Raw genomic sequence first — 20,017 nt, forward strand, 5'->3', positions numbered from 1 at the left:
GCCAGTGGTGGTTACAAAAATCTACACAAATGATAAAAGAACATTGAACTGTATGAACACCTTAGACCAATGCACCTTCCTGGTTTTGATATTACACTAATTATCTAGATGTAGAAGTAACCACTGAGGAAAACCAGTGAAGGGTAAGTGGAATCTCTCCGTACTTTCTTTCCAACCTCCTGTGAATCTACATATACATACATATATATATATATATATTTTTTTTTTTTTTTTTTTTGAGGCAGAGTCTTGTTCTGTTGCCCAGGCTGGAGTGCAGTGGCGTGATCTCGGCTCACTGCAACCTCCACCTCCCTGCAACCTCTGCCTCCTGGGTTCAAGAGATTCTCCTGCCTCAGCCTCCTGAGTAGCTGGGATTACAGGCACATGCCACTACGCCCAGCTAAGTTTTGTATTTTTAGTAGAGACGGGGTTTCACCATGTTGGTTAGGCTGGTCTTGAACTCCTGACCTCGTGATCCTCCTGCCTCGGCCTCCCAAAGTGCTGGGATTACAGGCATGAGCCACCGCACCCGGTCACCAATAATTTTTTGTAAATAAAAAAAAATTTTTTTTAAGTAAGCATATCGCTGTTCACCAAACAAAAACACATCAGCTGGTCAGGCACAGAGGCTCATGCCTGAAATCCCAGCACTTTGGGAAGTCGAGACGAGTGGATTACTTGAGGTCAGGAGTTCAAGACCAGCCGGGCCAACATGGTGAAACCTTGTCTCTACTGAAAATACAAAAATTAGCTGGGCATGATGGCTCATGCCTGTAATACCAGCTACTCAGGAGGCTGAGGAGAATCGCTTGAACCCAGGAGATGGAGGTTGCAGTGAGCTGAGATCGCACCACTGCACTGCAGCCTGGGTGATAGAGTGAGACCCTGTCTCAAAACAAAAACCAAAGCGAAACAGAAACAAAAACACATCACCTTCCCTAGACTCCACATTTTACTCTAGCTATATGCTAATACTTCCAATTGGCATCACTAGCCAGCATGACTCGCCTGCTCTCCAGACCCATATACCCAGCTGCCTATTGCATCTTTCCACTTGGATATCCCCAGGTTCCTCAAACTCAATTTGTGCAAAATGGAGCTGTCTTCCTTGCTGCCTCCTTCATTACCCTCACCACAATTGCTTCTGCTCCTGGGTCTTCAATCTCAGTTGAAAGCAGGATATCCACTGTGTTGCTTAAGCTAGAAGTTTAGGAGTCATCTTTAAATTTCCCCTTCCCCTCGCTTCAGATCCAGTCCATCACGAAGTCATCTTGATCCTACCCTCCAAGCAGCATGGCAATTTTCCACCTCTCTCCTCTGCTTCAGCTCCATATAGGACAAGCCACCATCAGCTTTATCCTGTGGCCTACAAAAGCGTTCAACCACTGGACCCTGCTTACCTGTCCAGCTCCATCTTCTCTTCACTATCTATACTGCAGCCACATCCCCCTTCTTCCAGTTCCGCGAAAGACCAGCCACATTCTTCTGCCTTTCCTCAAGCCTTTCACTCACCTTCTCTCCTCACCTGTATCAGTCTTGCTTTTCGTTCAGGTTGCAGCTTTACTGTTAATTTTTATGGGAGAACTTTCCTGACTCATGAATTAGGTAAGAGCCTTCTGTTCCATGCTCTTGGAGCACCGCGTACTCCCCTCTCACAAGCTTTGCTCAGCTCACACTGGTGAATTGTCTTTCTTCCTTTCTGCACGATGTTCTGAATAAAGGCAGAGGTTATGTCTCTAGTTTATCTTATAACCCTGTGTGCCTATCTCATTACCTGCCATATAGTGGGTCCTCAACGTATTTATTGTGAAGGAATGAAGCAAATAGATCAATGCTGGGGCTCATGAGTAAGTAAAGGAATTAAGCAAATAGATAAAATGCTGGGCTCAGGAGTAAGTGAAGGAATGAAGTGAATAGATCAATGCTGGGGCCCTTGTACCTCAGGACAGTCTTGCTCATCTTGCTCACCTGCTGTATCCCCAAGTGTCTATGGTACTGCTTGAAACAAAGCAGCCGTTCAATAAATATTTGCTGAATAAATGAATGGCTGCACATGCCGAATTTCCATCCCAGTAATCTGAGGAGGAATACATTACGCAGTCTGTGATACAGTTACACTGAGAACATCCTCTTAATTCTTAATTGACAAAGCAATCCTGAGATCAGAATACACAGGAAGGAAGAAAATATAAACAGAAACACGAAATAATATCTCAGGTCCTTACCCATGTTTTATTTACCTTCCCCCAAGTAAATCCATTTTTCACAACTTATTAGAAGACTAGATTTTCTTTCTAAAGGGGTTGAATCAGAGATACTCCAGATTTGGGGGCCCCAGACCCAGGTCAGGGAGGGGGAGACACCTAACAGAAAATAGGGAAATTAAGTGAAAAGCTGCAGACTGGATTATATGACCCCAGATATATTTCTCCTGATTTGCTCCCAAAAAAACTAGCAGTCAGGCTATTAAGACAGACGGGCAATTGAAGGATCCCCTTTAGGGGAAAGAGGAAGCCCAAGAAAAAAGCTTGCAGAGTTTGACATTTGGTGATGTCCCCATGAAATGGTGGAGTCCCACCTAATCACGCGAAAGTAATACCTACCAATTATCAGGTCTTTCCCATGAGCACGAAGAGGTTTCATTTGGCCTTTCAGTCCTCACTTTGTGTTTGTTTGCTCTTTTGTTTTTGTTTTTTAATACTTTCAACTTTTATTTTAGATTTGGGGGTACAGGTGCAGGTTTTTACATGGGTATATTGAATGATGCTGAGGTTTGGGGTGCAATTGATCTCACCACCTGGAAAACCACTAAGTGAACATAGTACTAACATAGTTACTTTTTCAACCTTCACCCCCTCCCCACCCCCAGTCCCTCACTTATTCAACAGCCAAAGATCACCAGGCATTGGAAGAAATCCTGCCAACATCAAAGTGAGAGACCAAAAAAACAAATAAGAAATCAGAACTCAGAACAAACAGGGCCAATTCAGAGAGCAGAAAAAAAAAAACTTCAGAGAAAGTGTAATTAATATCCACAAAAAGACAATAGTAACTATTGCATCAATGAGAAAAGAAAGCTCTGGGAAATTAAATTTTTTGGTACCAGAAATAAGAAATTCATAAACAAAAAGACAAAGAGATGAGAAATAGATCAATGTTTTTTTAAAAACATATGTTAAACAGATGTTCATGGCTCACACCTGTAATCCCAGCACTTTGGGAGACCAAAGCAGGTGGATCACTTAAGGTCTGGAGTTCTAGACCAGCCTGACCAACACGGTGAAACAACATTTCTACTAAAATACAAAACTTAGCTGGGCATGGTGGCGGGTGCCTGTAATCTCAGCTACTCAGGAGACTGAGGCAGGAGAATCACTTGAACCCAGGAGGTAGAGGTTGCAGTGAGCCAAGATTGCACCACTGCACTCCACCCTGGGCAACAGAGCGAGACTCCCTCTAAAAAAAAAAAAAAAAATACAAATAATAAAAAAAAAAGATGTTCAGTCTTTATTTGTGCTTAGTAGATGCCTAATATACAGTAGTAGCTGTTATCATCTCACTCAGAAGATAAATTTGCCAATGATCTTTGCACATGAGATTCCTTCTTTTTTTTTTCTTTTGAGAGACAAAGTCTCACTCTGTCACCCAAGCTGAAGTGCAGTAGTATGGTCATGGTTCATTGCAGCCTAGATATCCTGGGCTCAAGGTATCCTCCCATCTCAACCTCCTGAGTAGCTGGATCTATAGGCACACACCACCATACCTGGCTAATTTTTTTATTTTTATTTTTGTAGAGATGGGGGCCTTACTATGTTGCCCAGGCTGGTCTCAAACTCCTGGACTCAAGCAACCTTCCTTCCTAGGCCTCCTGAAGTGTTGGAATTACAGGCATGGGCCACCACACCCAGCCTGAGATTCCTTCTAATTGAAATACATCTTCTAGGACTAGTTTATTAAAACAAATTTCAAAGTTTCACAGATATTATTTTAGAACATTAAACTTAGATTTGTACATAGCCATGAATTTATTCAGCATTTGTAATATACAGTGCAATCGTATTGATTTAAACAGCATTAACAAATGCTGGTATTTGTTACTGGCAACAAATTAGACCAGGAAGTGGCATTAAAACAAGGATGAGGGGAAAATATGTAATAGATGCTCCTTGGCCAGTGATGATGAAGGCATGTTCAACAGGTTGGCCTCCGATTCATATAAGTAAGAAGGTCCATTACTAAAATTCAAAATACGCGTTGACTCAGCATTGGCTCAGATTTCAACCCCTCCCGAAAAGTCTTAAAGGGATATTAAGATAAGCTAGTGTAAACAAGAACACATGGGTAGTAGAAGGCCAACAACAGACACTGGGGCCTGCTTGAGGATGAAGGATGGGAGGAGGGAGAGGATCGGAAAAACTACATATGCTTATTCCCCAGGTGACAAAAATTATCTGTACACCAAACCCATGTGTCACACAGTTTACCTATATAACAAACCTGCACATGTGCCCCTGAAGCTAAAAGCTTAAAAAATAATAATAAGCTAGTTTTAACATCTAAATATTGTACCAGGCACAGGTTATATTTAGGAGTTAAGTTTCTAAAAAGTCTAAAAAACTATTTCTTTCCAGCTTTATACTTATCTAAAAAGACCAAATACGCTAAACCAAAGATGAAATTCAAATTTTTAAAAAACTGATTTTCCTCATATGGAATAGGAAAAATTGCAAAGTTAAATAATTCTTGGGTTTCTTTTCACTTCTAAGTCCGTTCTACCATAGTAAAATAATAAAATTAATCCTCATATTTAAATTAAAAAATTCACAAAACTAACTGAATTTATTAAACAAGAAATCAGGCACACGTGCTTTACAGATAGTTTAATTGTCCAGGAATTGAAGTGTCCTCTACTTCCTCCATAGATGGTCCTATTACCTGATCACTGCTCTGCTGGAGGAAAAATCAGTTGCCTGCATAGGCCCCCACATTGATCCAAATTCTAACACTCAACTTGCTTTGGATAGAGTTTAGAATTTCTCCCCCTGGGGAAAAGAACTAATATTCTAGTGCAAGACTGAAATTCAAAATACAGACAGTTATTAGAAAACAAACATGGTTAGGTAATTGTATTTGCTTATGTTGCTTTTCCATTGACTAATGGGTTAGAGCTGAAGAAGCCCTCCATTTGTTTCAATGAAATCTATCATTCACTGATTAAACATGCATTGAGCCAGACACTGTACTTTGCTCTACACTTGATCTTAGTTAAAAGGCCGAGAAGCAATCGTATTTGGCTCTAATAGTAACATGATGGAAAGAAAGACCATCAAGTAGTTGATGGTCAAGCCGCTTTAATGTAGGCATAGGCAGAACCTCATGTTGTTCAAAGCTTTATTTAAATAAAAAAGAATGTGAACAATGGTTCTTTCTGAGCCTTGCTATGAAGTGGTGTGGAAAAGTCCAGTGAGTAATCCCTACTGCTCATGACAAGTGCAAAGTTCTATTTGCTGCTTTAATGTCAACACAGTTTTTTTCTGAGATTTCTGGAAGTTCTGCAACTTAAGGGTTAAAGGTAGAGACCCTAGGGTTCAACAGGCCAGGGTCCAAATCCCTGCTCTGAGAACTGTAGCTTGGCCTTGGGGAAGATACTTTGTACCTCTGAACCTCACTAATTTATGAAGGTTAGATTTGGCAACATGTGACAGCCAGCTGAAATCAACAGTGACTGAAATGCACCAGGACTTAACACATTCCCATTAAAGAAGTGTGGACTTGCTGTCCTGGACTTGTATAGAATGTCCATGAAGCCACTATGGACCCAGGCTCCCTCCCCTGTCTACTCCACCATCCCTAGGGTGTGGCTTTGTCTTCACAGCCCAAGATGGCTCCGGAAGCTCCATCCACTGCATCTACATTCTACTACATCTGCATTCTACTACATCTGCATTCTACAGGCGGCAGGATGATGGAAAGGCCTGAAACATTGGTTTCTGACCCCTTCCTTATAGCAAAATGCCAGGTACTAAATGCAAACCCTTTTGGTCATTCATTCAACAAATATTTGTTGAGCACCTACTATGTGCCAGTGGCAATAGGAGGCACTAGAAATACAATGGTGAATAAGATAGACAGCGTTCCTGTCCTCATGGGCCACAGGGTATTGGAAGAGCCATAAGAATGATTTAATTGGCATGGCAATAAGCCCTGTGGAAAAAAAAATTGAGAGGTTAAAAATCATAGACGCAGAGGACCTGATCTAGGTGCAGACGTCAAGAAAATGTTTCTTTGGGGAACTAAATTTGTGCTTGGACCTGTGAGATGAGTAGTAATTACTACATAGGCAGAAATTGCTTGTTGCCTAGACAATATCCACACACACTCTCTCTCTCTCTGTCCTCCTACCACTGTCCCCCACATCCTAGACAAAGCCTTGCTCTCGTTGCCCATGCTGGAGTTCAGTGATGCAATCATAGCTCACTGCATCCTTGAACTCCTGGGCTCAGGTGATCCTCCCACCTCGGCCTCCCAAAGTGCTGGGATTACGGGCATGAGCCACTGCACCTAGCCGAGACTTTCTTTCTTTGCCAGTTTTAGAACCCAGATTTCATTCAGGATAGCAGCCCTCCTTCCAGACAGGGCTGGCCAGTGGAATGTAGGTGGAAGTTGTTGAAAAGTGTCCTTGAAAGGGAGTGACTCAACTAGGTGGGTGCCATTGGTCTTTCCCCTTCCTCCTGCCTAGCTGACACTGCAGCAACCACAGACCTTGAGGATGGAAACTATACACCGAATGTTGGGAAAGGCAGCCTCATTCACACAGCCCTTTGACCCCCTCCTTAGCCACATAAGAATGAGCCTGGGGCCAGCACCATGGCTCACGCCTGTAATCCTAGCACTTTGGGAAGTCAAGGCAGGTGGATCACCTGAGGTCAGGGGTTCGGAACAAGCTTGGCCAACATGGCAAAGCCCCATCTCTACTAAAAATACAAAAATTAGCCAGGCATGATGGCGCATGCCTGTAATTGCAGCTACTTGGGAGGCTGAGGCCGGAGAATCACTTGAACCCAGGAGGTGGAGGTTTCAGTGAGCCAAGATCGTGCCACTGTAATCCAGCCTGGGCAACAGAGCAAGACTCCGTGTCTCAAAAAAAAAAAAAAAAATTGCCTGGAGCATTTCCTAAGAGATAAAAGAAAAGATACAGAGCCTGGCCAGGTGCAGTGGCTCACGCCTGTAATCCCAGCAATTTGGGAGGCCACGGCAGGTGTATCATCTGAGGTCAGGAGTCTGAGACCAGCCTGACCAACATGGAGAAACGCCATCTCTACTAAAAATACAAAATAAGTCCGGCGTGGTGGTGCATGCCTGTAATCCCAGGAACTCGGGAGACTGAGGCAGGAGAATTGCTCGAACCCGGGAGGTGGAGGTTGCGGTGAGCCAAGATTGCACCATTTCACTCCAGCCTGTGCAACAAGAGCGAAACTCGCCTCAAGAAAAAAAAGAGATAAAGAGCCCACACAGCCTGGGCCCGGCTTGTCACCTTGTGTGGGAATGCCTTTCCCTGTTTCAGGCTCAATGTGTGCTCCTTTGTTCTGTTTAAGCAGGTGTGTTAATGGCCCTCAGGTATGCCCCTGGCTATCAGTGTTTTAGACCCCATAGGGGCAGGGAGGAGACAGGGTCCTTCTGCTGCAGCATGAAACAGGTGCAGGGGGGTGTGTCTGCTGTGAGGGGACTCACTGGTCATGGGAGACCGACATTCACTATTGAAGCTGATTTTTCTGTCTCTTCTCTGTGTGAGTAAAGCACTGTTCCATCCAGGACTCAACTGTGTTGTGCTCTCCTTGGTGACTCAGACACCAGGATGCAGTGGGCGGAAGGGCTAGGACTTCTGTTCCTGATAATAGGCAACAGATGCCACTTGCTTGACAGTTTGGCTCAGTGAGCAAGTCTCTATGAGACGCATCATGATGGGGTAGAAATGCAAGGGCTTGTCAGCCACATTGCCCCAGGGTGTTGCTGACTCTCTGGGGTGTAGAGGGGCGGGGAGGCTGGCCTCCCTCTGATCACAGAGTGATATTCCCATGGTATCCCAGGGGCCACAGACAATGTCAGAGGGAAGTTGGAGGAGCCCCTAGTGCAGAGAGTTTTACCTATCCCAGTCACTTGCAGACCTCAAATAAGATCTGGTTGCACTCAACACAGAACCACCAATGGCATTGCTGAAAACAGAACTGTGGAAATGAGGTCCTTCTCTGAGAATGAAACATAAAAATTGAAGGACAAATATGGACGAATGCCAGGGAAGTCTCACGCAGCCTGGCTGGCACATCTGTTCGATAAAGGGACAATATAGACCCAAATGTCTCTGGCCAAATGGCGCAGTTAAGGATGAGGCCAGTTGAAACAGGGCCCTTTGCAGCAGTAGCCTTGGAAGTTGTTCAATAAGACATGGACCAAATACTGCCTTTGCAACCTTTGGAGCCTGCTGGCCCCATGGAACTGCTAGTAACCCAAAAATCCATACATGCCAATTGGAGTCTGTGGCAGCAGGAAACTGCCACTAGAGGACACCAGCCTCTCCAATCTTGGACACATAAGTTGCCTGAGGCAGCCGCCAGATACACCCTTTTCAAACAGCAGCTCCTTGCTTGCTATTGGGCACTGGTGGAGACTGAGCATCTTATGGCTGGAGTGCTGCATGTGATGCTATGACCTAAACTACCCATTCTCACTTGTGTGTTTATGAATCCTATCAATAAAATTGGACAGGATCAATAGAGCTTAATCAGCAAATGGAAACAGAACATCCAAGATTAGGTCCAGTCCGGACCACGGGAACTAAAAGCCTCCATAAACAGTCAGCTTAGCAAAAGGGAAGAAGAGACCCACTGTGTATGCTTTGCCCCTCCAGTGGCGACCTGGGGTCCAAGATTCAAAGATGTACCTGCCAATGGTATGACATGGTTTACTGATAAGTCTTCGAAACAAAGCAAGTGGGGTCCCCTGGCTTGTGGCTACCATGTGGCCAGCAGATGGTCATCTTTTGACTTAGACTGGATATGAATGTTCTCCCCAATGGGCCAAACTGTGCAGTGGTGACGACCATGCAGGCCACACCTACTGCTATACCTTGCTACTTTTCACTGACTCATGGGCTGTTGCCAAGAGTCTAGCCATGTGACTCGGGAATGGCAGCTGAATGACTGGACTATTGAGAGATCCCCCATGTGGGGACAAGAACTATGGAAGCAGCTTGCTGACTGGGAAGGATGAATATATGTCACTCGTGGATGCTCATGGAAAAGGGCCTTTTGAGATGGATCACGAATGAAACTCATGCCTATCAAGCTTATGCCCTAAGAGTGACAACCGCCTGCTTGATACATCAACCCACTAGACATGGAAGTCCACCACAGATACAAGAATGGGCCAAGGCCTGAGGGACGATCCTGAAAGATGAGACTAAGGATGCAGTACAATCTTGTGATTCTTGCCAATGGGCCTAAATTGTTTCAAGAGGAAAATTAGGGCACATAAACTGAGGACTAGGATACACCTAGGTCTGATAGGTTGACCTCACTGGACCCTTGACCCCTAGCCATGGGCCTCATTGGTGCCTCACTGCCATTGACACCTACTCAGGCTATGGTGTTGCCATTCTAGTCTGTCCTATGGATGCTATAGCTACCATAGGTGCCCTTGAAAAGAACTTACGTTTTTGGATACCCCAAAAGACTTCACTTGACCAAGGAACCTCTTTCACTGTCCAAGCAACACAACAATTGGTGGACCCTTTCTTATTTTGAAATGGAGTTTCGCTCTTGTCACCCAGGCTGGAGTGCAATGGCACAATCTTGGCTCACTGCGACCTCCACCTCCTGGGTTAAAGCGATTCTCCTGCCTCAGCCTCCCAAGTAGCTGGGATTACAGGTGTGTGCCACTGACTTCCATGGAATATGATGGACTTTCCATGCACCCTATCATCCACAGGAACATGGAGCCATTGAACAGTGGAACATCCCACTCACACCGTCACTGATGAAAGGACACATGGCCTGCGAATGGTGTGGCACCCCTGTCTCACTAGGGCAATGTAGACAGTGAACACTCCATTCTAGCACAACAGAAACATGACACTGCAGCACGTATTGGAAAATACTGAGTTTGGTGGGAGTCGAGGTGGACCAGGGAACTGCCTGCTTACCTGCTTAGGCTGTGCCTGTGATATCTCAATCTCAGTATATCCAACAGTTGTGGGGTTTTTTTGTTTTGTTTTGTTTTGTTTTGTTTTTTTTTTAGAGCACACATCTTGGGGATGGTTTGCAGTCTGGGCCACCATAGTACTCACACAGGGCCTCCTGACTCTAATCTGGAGCTGATGTTTCCCTGGATGCCTTCCTTTTATGGGAATCCCACAGGGCTACAGGATGGGACCAAGGAGTACAAAGGTGCTAGGGTACCTCTAGTGGCTCTAGGGGAATCTAATTCTTCCATTCATGTGGGTGATGCTGCTGAACATGTCAAGTTTGTACAGGACATGACCTTCCCTCCTGGACTGGATGAATAAGGCCAAAAGGTCTGGCTCAAGCAACAAGGGCAATGGGTGCCCTGAGAGGTAGTAGCCTCAGTACTGGAACAGACAGCCTGGGTTGTCATATCTGGGCAGCTGATACTCCAAGTAATAGAAAAGAGCACCTCCGACCACAGGAAGCGTGAGAAGTGGGTGCCTAATCTTTCCTCCTCTTGTTTCTTCACAGTACATGGATTGAGAACATATCAGCGAAGATCATCCCAGCAGTAGCAGCAGTGAAAGACCGGAAGCGTTGCCAGGTCTTCCACTTGAGTATTGTGAGCCTATTCCTCCAGATTAATAGTTCACATGTGGCCTATTGCAAATGTGACAGGGGTCCCAGTGGCCATCAGTGGGTTCTGATCAGACAGTGCCACCCTCAGTCTGGGTTCAGATACACAGAATACATAATATACCCCATGAACGAAGCTTACCTTAACCATAGGTATAAAATAAGAGGTGGACTTTATTTTTATTTTTTTATTTTTTGAAACACAGTTTCACTCTGTCGCCCAAGCTGGAGTGCAGTGGCACAATCTCAGCTCGCTGCCACCTCTGCCTCCCGGGTTCAAGCGGTTCTCGTGCCTCAGCCTCCCAAGGAGCTGGGATTACAGGCACACACCACATTGCCCAGCTAATTTTTGTATTTTTAGTAGAGACAGGGGTTTCACCATGTTTGCCAGGCTGGTCTTGAACTCCTGACCTCAAGTGATCTGCCTGCCTCGGCCTCCCAAAGTGCTGGAATTACAGGCATGAGCCACCACACCCTACCTGACTTTCTTTTTTAAAAATAGATTTCAGAGTTAGGTTTAATTCTATGCTCACTAAAACATCCCAGCTGTTTTCAGAAACATGAAAAGTCCTAAGTTGCAGTGTGACTTTTCTTGGTGTCCATCCTGAGGGCTTAGTCTGTTCCAGATCTTTCCTCCTCTTGTTTCTTCACAGTACATGGATTGAGAACGTATCAGCGAAGATCATCCCAGCAGTAGCAGCAGTGAAAGACTGGAAGCGTTGCCAGGTCTTCTGCTTGAGTATTGTGAGCCTATCCCTCCAGATTAATAGTTCACATGTGGCCTATTGCAAATGTGACAGGGGTCCCAGTGGCCATCAGTGGGAGCCACACCACCAGACATCAGACGGGTTTGTGGAGGGTTGCTTTAATTAATCACCCTCCTTAAACTTGTCATTAACATAATGCACCCAGTCCAGAATCAGTTGCCAGTCAGACCTACAGCAGCCCCACCATGCCCACGGCACCCCTACATGCCTACCATGGGAATCCAGTTCTTGGCTAGCTCCTGGTAGCATGAACCCAGGAAACCTCACTCAGCATCGCTGCACCATCCACACCCTTAGGGTGAACCTGTCTGCCAGCCTGGCCACAATCCAGTGGTATCCTGCCACCTGAACCATGGTTAAACCAGACACACATTTTGTACAATTGGACTAGAGACTCTTAGAAAAACTGCTTCTTGGCCAGAGTTAAATATGTGCTCTCTTGGGTTACATATTCCTCTGTGGGGTGTAGTAGCTTGCAGAGTGCCTGTCCTCCTTAGATGGGGAATGTTGTTTGAGAATTTGGGGTCCTTCAGTGTTTGTGCAAGATGACACTCCAAATTGGAAGGGCCACATACTTCTGGCACATCACAGGGTTGCCTGAGTCAATTTGCCAGGAAAACAAACATGCCTGGTTCCACTCTGCTGCCCATGTCCTCATACACAGTATAGGCACACAGGTCCTGGATAAAGATGATACACATCTTGTCATTGACTGTGTGGAGATAGCGAATGCTACTGCCTGTGCTATTAAGGACCAGCGGGATGCATTAAACTCACTAGCCAAGGTGGTGATGGACAACGAAAGTTCTCAATTATCTGCTGGCAAAATGGGATGGCATTTGCATGACTGCCAACACCTCTTGCTGGGTATAAATCAATAATTTAGGCAAGGTAGAAAGTGAGCTAGAGAAGATTCCTGCTGAAGCGGGGTGCTGGTCAGCTATGCACACGCAGTGCCACCAAGACTCATTCTTTCACCTCTTTAGCACACTCAATCCTGGCCCTTGGGGGCTCCTGGTTGAGGACCATCCTCCAAGGACTGATCGTCCTATGGGTCTGGTTCTCCTAGTCACCCTGATGAAGGGCTGCCTCGAAATGACAAGGAGTCTCTACAAACAGACTGCATCCATATCAGTGGTTCACACCACTAAACCCATTTCTCCCTCTAGATTTAGGGTGGGCAATGATCCTACTGGATTTGATGTGCTTTATCTGCTGTTTCAGTGGCTAAGTGAGGGTCAGGGGTGGACCGTTGGGAAAGGAAGACTCAGGTATGAAGTCTTTTTATACCCCCTCCTCCGTGGACATGGCCACATAAGAATTGGCCATGGGCCCGGAACATGTCTTTACTAAGAGCCCACACAGCCTGGGCCAGGCTTGTTGCTTTGTGCGGGAAAACCTTTCCCTGTTTCAGGCTCAAGGTGTTCAGTGTGTGCATCAACGACCTTCAGACACGCTCCCCAGCTCTCAGTGTTTCAGACTCTGTGGTGGTGGGGGTGGGTGTAGGTAGTCGGGGCAGGGGTGTGTGTCAAAGGGTCATGCTGCTACAGCACAAGAGAGGTGCAAGGAGGCCAATTGCCCTGTGTCTGCTGCAGGGGGACCCATTGGCCATGGGAGACCAACTCTGACTATTGAAACTGCTTCTGCTCTGTCTCTTCTGTATGTGAGTAAATCATTGTTCCGTCCCATTCTTGACTGCACTTGAACTTCTGCTCCTGATAATAGGTGTCAACCGTAGATAATGAGATTCAGAAAATATGACTGAATATAGAGCTTATTTGAATGCAAATCTTGAGGATAGCCACCTGGGAAACACAGACTCCAAACGAATAGGGTCAGCATTCCAAAGTGGAGAAGTTAAGGTTTCACTTACATAGGCAGACAGAGAAGTTTCAGCAGGATTACATTTTTGATACAAGACCAGCACATATGTTATAATGATTTGCTACAATGATTTGTTACAGTGATTTGGTTACAGATTGCTACATGGCAAGAAAGATTACTGTGTTAACCCCTTAGGAATGATAATGATCTGAGGGTGTCTTCTCTCTGGTCCCGCTTGTTCTTCCTAATTACTTACAGGGAAAAAAATGCAGAAGATGCAGCTAAATGCCATGTGACTAAGGCCACATAGCCACATTCCTCTCAAGGCTCAGAATAATTTAAAATTCAAACAGCTTTAAGTTTGAATTATCTACTTTCACATAGGCAATAGTGCCACTTGCTCAACACTAAATATGGTAGAGCAGAGAGAAAGAAGCCCGAGCCTCTGATAACTTTGTGGAGCCACGGTATCATCTTTGGCTGTCTCTTCCAGCCAATAAGCTTAAGCCTCTGTTTAAGAATTTCTTTTTCTTTTTCTTTTCTTTTTTCTTTTTTTTTTGAGACGGAGTCTCGCTCTGTCACCCAGGCTGGAGTGCAGTGGCGCCATCTCAGCTCACTGCAAGCTCTGCCTCCCAGGTTCACACCATTCTCCCGCCTCAGCCTCCCGAGTAGCTGAGACTACAGGCGCCCGCCACCACGCCCGGCTAATTTTTTGTATTTTAGTAGAGACGGGGTTTCACTGTGTTAGCCAGGATGGTCTCGATCTCCTGACCTCGTGATCCGCCCTCCTTGGCCTCCCAAAGTGCTGGGATTACAGGCGTGAGCCACTGTGCCTGGCCTTTTTTTTTTCTTTTCTTTTTTGAGACAGAGACTCCCTGTCACCCAGGCTGGAGTGCAGTGGCGTGATCTCAGCTCACTGTAACCTCCACCTCCCGAGTTCAAGTGATTCTCCTGCTTCAGCCTCCTGAGTAGCTGCGATTCAGGCACCTGCCACTATGCCTGGCTAATTTTTTGTATTTTTAGTAGAGACGGAGTTTCACCATGTTGGCCAGGCTGGTCTCGAACTCCTGACCTCAGGTGATCCACCCAACTCGGCCTCCCAACGTGTTGGGATTGCATGCTTGAGCCACCTCACCTGGCCTTGTTTAAGAAATTCTTAAACGGTGTACAAAAAGCTACATAACAGTAAAAAATTAATGCATTGGACCATATTAAAATTAAGAACTTCTAGCTGGGCATGGTGGCTCATGCCTGCAATCTCAGCACTTTGGGAGGCTGAGGTGGGTGAATTGCTTGAACTCAGGAGTCCCAAGACCACACTGGGCAACATGCTGAGACCCCGTCTCTCAAAAAAAAAATGCAAAAATTAGCCAGGTGTGGTGGTGCACGCTGGTAGTCCCAGCTACTTGGGAGGCTGAGGCAGGAAGATTGCTTGAGCCTGGGAGGTCAATGCTGCAGTAGAAGCATGATCATGCCACTGCACTCCAGCCTAAGTGACTGGGCAGCGAGTAACTGGGATTACAGGCACACACCACCACACCCAGCTAATTTTTTGTATTTTTAGTAGAGACGGGGTTTCTCCATTTTGGTCAGGCTGGCCTCAAACTCCTGACCTCAGGTTATCCACCCGCCTCGGCCTCCCAAAGTGCTGGGATTACAGGCATGAGCCACCACACCTGGCCCGTCTCCTGACTGTTGAACTCTCCCAGTGAATGTTGGTATCTTCATCTCAAGCTCCTGCTGGACTTTTTTTTTTTTTTAATCTGCTTGTCCCGTTACTTCCAAGTCAACATTTATCATTAAATTCCCCATCATCGCCCAAATAACTTGCCTTCACAGCTTCTCTCTTCCTAAGCAGGAAGGGAGCATTTAGGGCCCTGAACAAGGCACTGGTTTATGTTCTGTCACACTCATAAACCTGTATCCCCTGATTCTGCATTTCATTTCCCAAATGGGGTCATCTAGCAAGTTCCATCAGAAATTCATGCCTTCAGCTAGCTTATCTGCTGTTCCAAGATAAGTTTCAAAAAAAGGTAAAACCATGACTCTCAAAGAGATATAAAAATGGGTCTGGGCATGGTGGCTCACACCTTAAATCCCAGTACTTTGCCAGGCCAAGGCGGGAGGATCAATTGAGCCCAGGAGTTCGAGACCAGCCTGGCCAACATGGTGAAACCACGTCTCTACTGAAAATACAAGTATTAGCCAGGAATGGTGGCAGACACCTGTAATCCCAGCTACTCAGGATGCGAAGGCAGGAGAACCACTTGAACCCAGGAGGTGAAGTTTGCAGTGAGCCGAGATCGCACCACTGCACTCCAGCCTGGGTGACAGAGTGAGACTCCACCACACACACACACACACACACAAAAAAAAAAAAAAAGAAGGAGAGATATAAATATGAACACATATTAAAGATTTTATGTAACTCATGAAGAAACCAGAAAATCGTTATATCTGGCTCAAAACAGAATTTTAAGATTGGATATGTGTGCCGGGTGTGGTGGCTCATGCCTGTAATCCCAATACTTTGGGAGGCAGAGGTAGGAGGATTGCTTGAGCTCAGGAATTTGAGACCAGCCTGGGCAATGTGGTTGATATGACTCCGATGACTAGAGGGACACCACGGTTCTTGGTCTCACGCCTATAGGATTAACAACAGGGACACACGTGGAGTGGTTTTAAGGAGCAAAAAGGCAAGAACGAAGGAAGGAAGGAAGAAGAAAACAGCTCCCCTGAACAGAGACAGAGGGAGGGGGGATTCAAACAAAGAGAAAACCCCGTGTGCTGCGGAAAAGTGGCTGCTTATATTGGGATGCTGGAGGAGGCAGTGTCTGGTTTCCACTGGGCCCAGGAGATTGGTTTGACCAGGTGTGTCATCACATAGTTCGTGGAAAAACTGGCCCTCCTATCCTAGCCTTTTAATATGCAAATGTAGAGTGCCATGATGTTCTACACACTTGGGGATATGTGGGGGTGGCCCTGTTGTCAGGCACATGTGAGCACAAGGGCAAGAAAAAGATGGCGGGAATCGCCAAGTTTGGGTGGACCCAGTTTCTCATGGCCTTCCTGTGCATATCAAAGCTTGCCAGCTGGCTCTAAGAGCCAGGGCTTTCCTGCTAGAAAAGAAATATTTCTGGAGCTGCTTTAAAAGAACCAAAAACTTCCCAAGGACCCCTTTTCCTCTCTATCTGCAGAAAATAATTTCTTAATAACTCCTATAACATGGTGGAACCCCATTTCTACAAAAAAATACAGAAATTAGCTGGGCGTGGCAGCATGCGCCTGTAGTCCCAGCTACTCAGGAGGCTGAGGTGAGAAGACTGCTTGAGCTGGGGAGGTCAAGGATGCAGTGAGCTGAGATCATGCCACTGTACTCCAGCCTGGGCAAAGAGCAAGACCCTGTCTCAAAAAAGAAAAAAAAAAGGATATATTTATAGATCAGGAATATTGAAATGAATGTGCAAATGGAGATAAAACTGGTTTTGCCACATGGGATGATGGGCTGCCAACTGAATGCCCATCAATCGGACAGGATAGCACATAGCACTTACATATCTATAGACAAGAGTTGACTGCATCTCATAACTGTCTGCAATTTACAGAGTTGTGAAAAAGCTTCCATAGAATCTTAATAAGATAACCCAAAGGAATTCCCTCAACAGTTTCTCTGGGCCGGGCATGGTGGTGTGCACTTGTAATCCCAGTGCTTTGGAAGGCTGTGGTGTGAGGATCACTTCAGCCCAGGAATTCGAGACCAGCCTGGGCAACATAGAGAGGCCCCATCTCTACTAAAAGCAAGCAAACAAACAAACAAACAAAAGCCAGGCCTAGTGGCAGAAGCCTGTAGTCTCAGCTACTCGGGAGGCTCAGGTGGGAGGATCACTTGAGCCCAAGAGTTCAAGTTTACAGTGAGCTATGATTGTGCCACTGCACTCCAGCCTGGGCAATAGAGCCAGATCCTGTCTCTAAAAAAAGGGTTTCTCTGGATGATGCATTGGTTTTCACTAAGGCACCACTCTTCCCAACACTGCTCAGTCTTTCTCCACCCTTGACTCCAGCGTCTACCAATCATAGTAAAATATAGCTTTCACCACCCCACCAGCTTCTGCAAAGAGTGTCTATTGACTCCCACAACCACAATAAACATCTCTTCCTGCCTTTCAAGATTCCCTTTAATCCAGCATCACTGTCTTTGTATAACCACCTCTTATTCCAGGCAGGCCTGATCTCTCCACCCCAAGCCAAGCCAACGCCCTCCCACACATTCTCCTGACCCAGACGTCCCCTCAATCATCTATAGCATTCTCATTCTGCTGGCTCCTTTCAAGCTTTCTTTTTGTTTTTGCTTCTACTATCTGAAAGCCACACATAGCACCTATTCTGTTCTTTAATTATAGATGCTACCTGCACTAGACCTTGATCATGAATTCATTCAAACATATTATGAGCACCTTGCATTCGTTCCAGGGACAGTCTAAATGCTAGATCTAGGCACTGGCTATGCAGAGATGAAAAAGGCATGGCTCCCTAGATGAGTGGGGGGAAAAAGACAATGAGAATGAAACCACCTTTGCAAATACTATAACTAAGAATATTATGACAGCAGGCCGGGAGCGGTGGCTGACGCCTGTAATCCCAGCACGTTGGGAGGCCAAGGCAGGCGGATCACGAAGTCAGGAGATCGAGATCATCCTGGCTAACATGGTGAAACCCTGTCTCTACTAAAAATACAGAAAATTAGCCGGGCGTGGTGGCACATGCCTGTAGTCCAGCTACCTGGGGGAGGCTGAGGCAGGAGAAGCACTTGAATCTGGGAGGTGGAGGCTGCAGTGAGCCAAGATCGCGCCACTGCACTGCAGCCTGGGCGACAAGAGTGACACTCTATCTCAAAAAAAAAGAAAAAAAATAAAGAAAAATAAAATTATAACAGCAAAAGAGATCTGACATAACTGATTCCATCTTGCTGCCCTAGCTGATTCCATCTTGCTGCTGCTGCTGCTGCTGCTTTCTTTCTTTCTTTTTTTTTTTTTTTTTGAGATAGAGTCTCACTCTGTTGCCCAGGCTGGAGTGCAGCGGTGCAATCTCGGCTCACTGCAATCTCCGCCTCCCGGGTTCAGGCGAATTCTCCTGCCTCAGCTCCCCCAGTAGCTGGGATTACAGGCGTGCACCACCACAGCCCACTAATTTTTTTATTTTTTTTGTTTGTTTTGAGATGGAGTCTCGCTCTGTTGCCCAGGCTGGAGTGCAGTGGCGCAATCTCGGCTTACTGCAAGCTCCGCCTCCTGGGTTCATGTCATTGTCCTGCCTCAGCCTCCCCGAGTAGCTGGGACTACAGGCGCCTGCCACCACGCCCAGCTAATTTTTTTTTTGTACTTTTAGTAGAGACGGGGTTTCACCGTGTTAGCCAGGATAGTCTTGATCTTCTGACCTCGTGATCCACCTGCCTCGGCCTCCCAAAGTGCCGGGATTACAGGCGTGAGCCACTGCGCCTGGCAATTTTTGTATTTTTAGTACAGACAGGGTTTCACCATATTGAACCAGGCTGGTCTTGAACTCCTGACCTCAGGTGATCCGCCCGCCTTGGCCTCCCAAAGTGCTAGGATTACAGGCATCAGCCACGGCACCCAGCTCAGCGCTTCTCACTTTCTGACCCACTACCCACCAAATTATCCTTAAAAACTCTGAACCCCAAATTTTCATGGAGATTGACTTGAGTAATAATAAAACTGTGGTTTTCCATACAGCCAGCTCTGTGTGAATTAAACTCTTTTTCTGTTGCAAATTCCTTGTCTTGATAAATTGGCTCTGTTTAGGCAGCGGGCAAGGAGAACCCATTGAACAGTTGCAAGAATACAGGTGATTGGCACTTTGAGACAGGTCGCTTTGGGAGCAGAGGGAGGGCACATAACCCAGACAGGGAAGGTCAGCAAGTATTTCTTGGAAGAAGTGGCATTGGTCAAGCAAAGAAGGGAGCAGAAGGAACAGGAGCATATGCACATATAACTCTGTGAAACACTGCCTTTTCTTTTTTTATAACAATATTTTTACAATCACCATATCTCTTGCCTCTACTAGATAATAGAGGACAGCAGAATATAAAACTTTGACATAAAGATTTTTTTGAGCTAAAGGCACTTAAAATACAGCAGATGCAAGAAGGGTACTCTGGCCTCTCTTTACTTCCTGAAAGCAGGAGATCAGCTCTCATGTGAATGCTGCCCTCCCTGCACCAGAAAGAAAGGAACATTATCACCAAAGAGGGAGAGTCAAGGCCGAGAGAAATCTGTACAAACAACTCTTGTTAGACTAACCTTTATTTCCTTTAGTTTTCCCATATAAATATACTTTTTCAAAATTACTATTTTTGTTCAACCTAGTATATGAGCACTTAGGCCTAACCATTTTGGGGGGTCTCGATTTTCCTGTAAGGGCTTCCAAGTACGTGCAAAACTATTAAATAAAATTTATATGTGTGTGTGTGTGTGTGTGTGTGTGTGTATATATATATATATATATGATTATTATTATTTTTTGAGACAGGGTCTCATTCTGTTACCCAGGCTGGAG

Source organism: Homo sapiens, chromosome 4, assembly GCF_000001405.40.
Source record: "Homo sapiens chromosome 4, GRCh38.p14 Primary Assembly".
Taxonomy (NCBI): domain Eukaryota; kingdom Metazoa; phylum Chordata; class Mammalia; order Primates; family Hominidae; genus Homo; species Homo sapiens.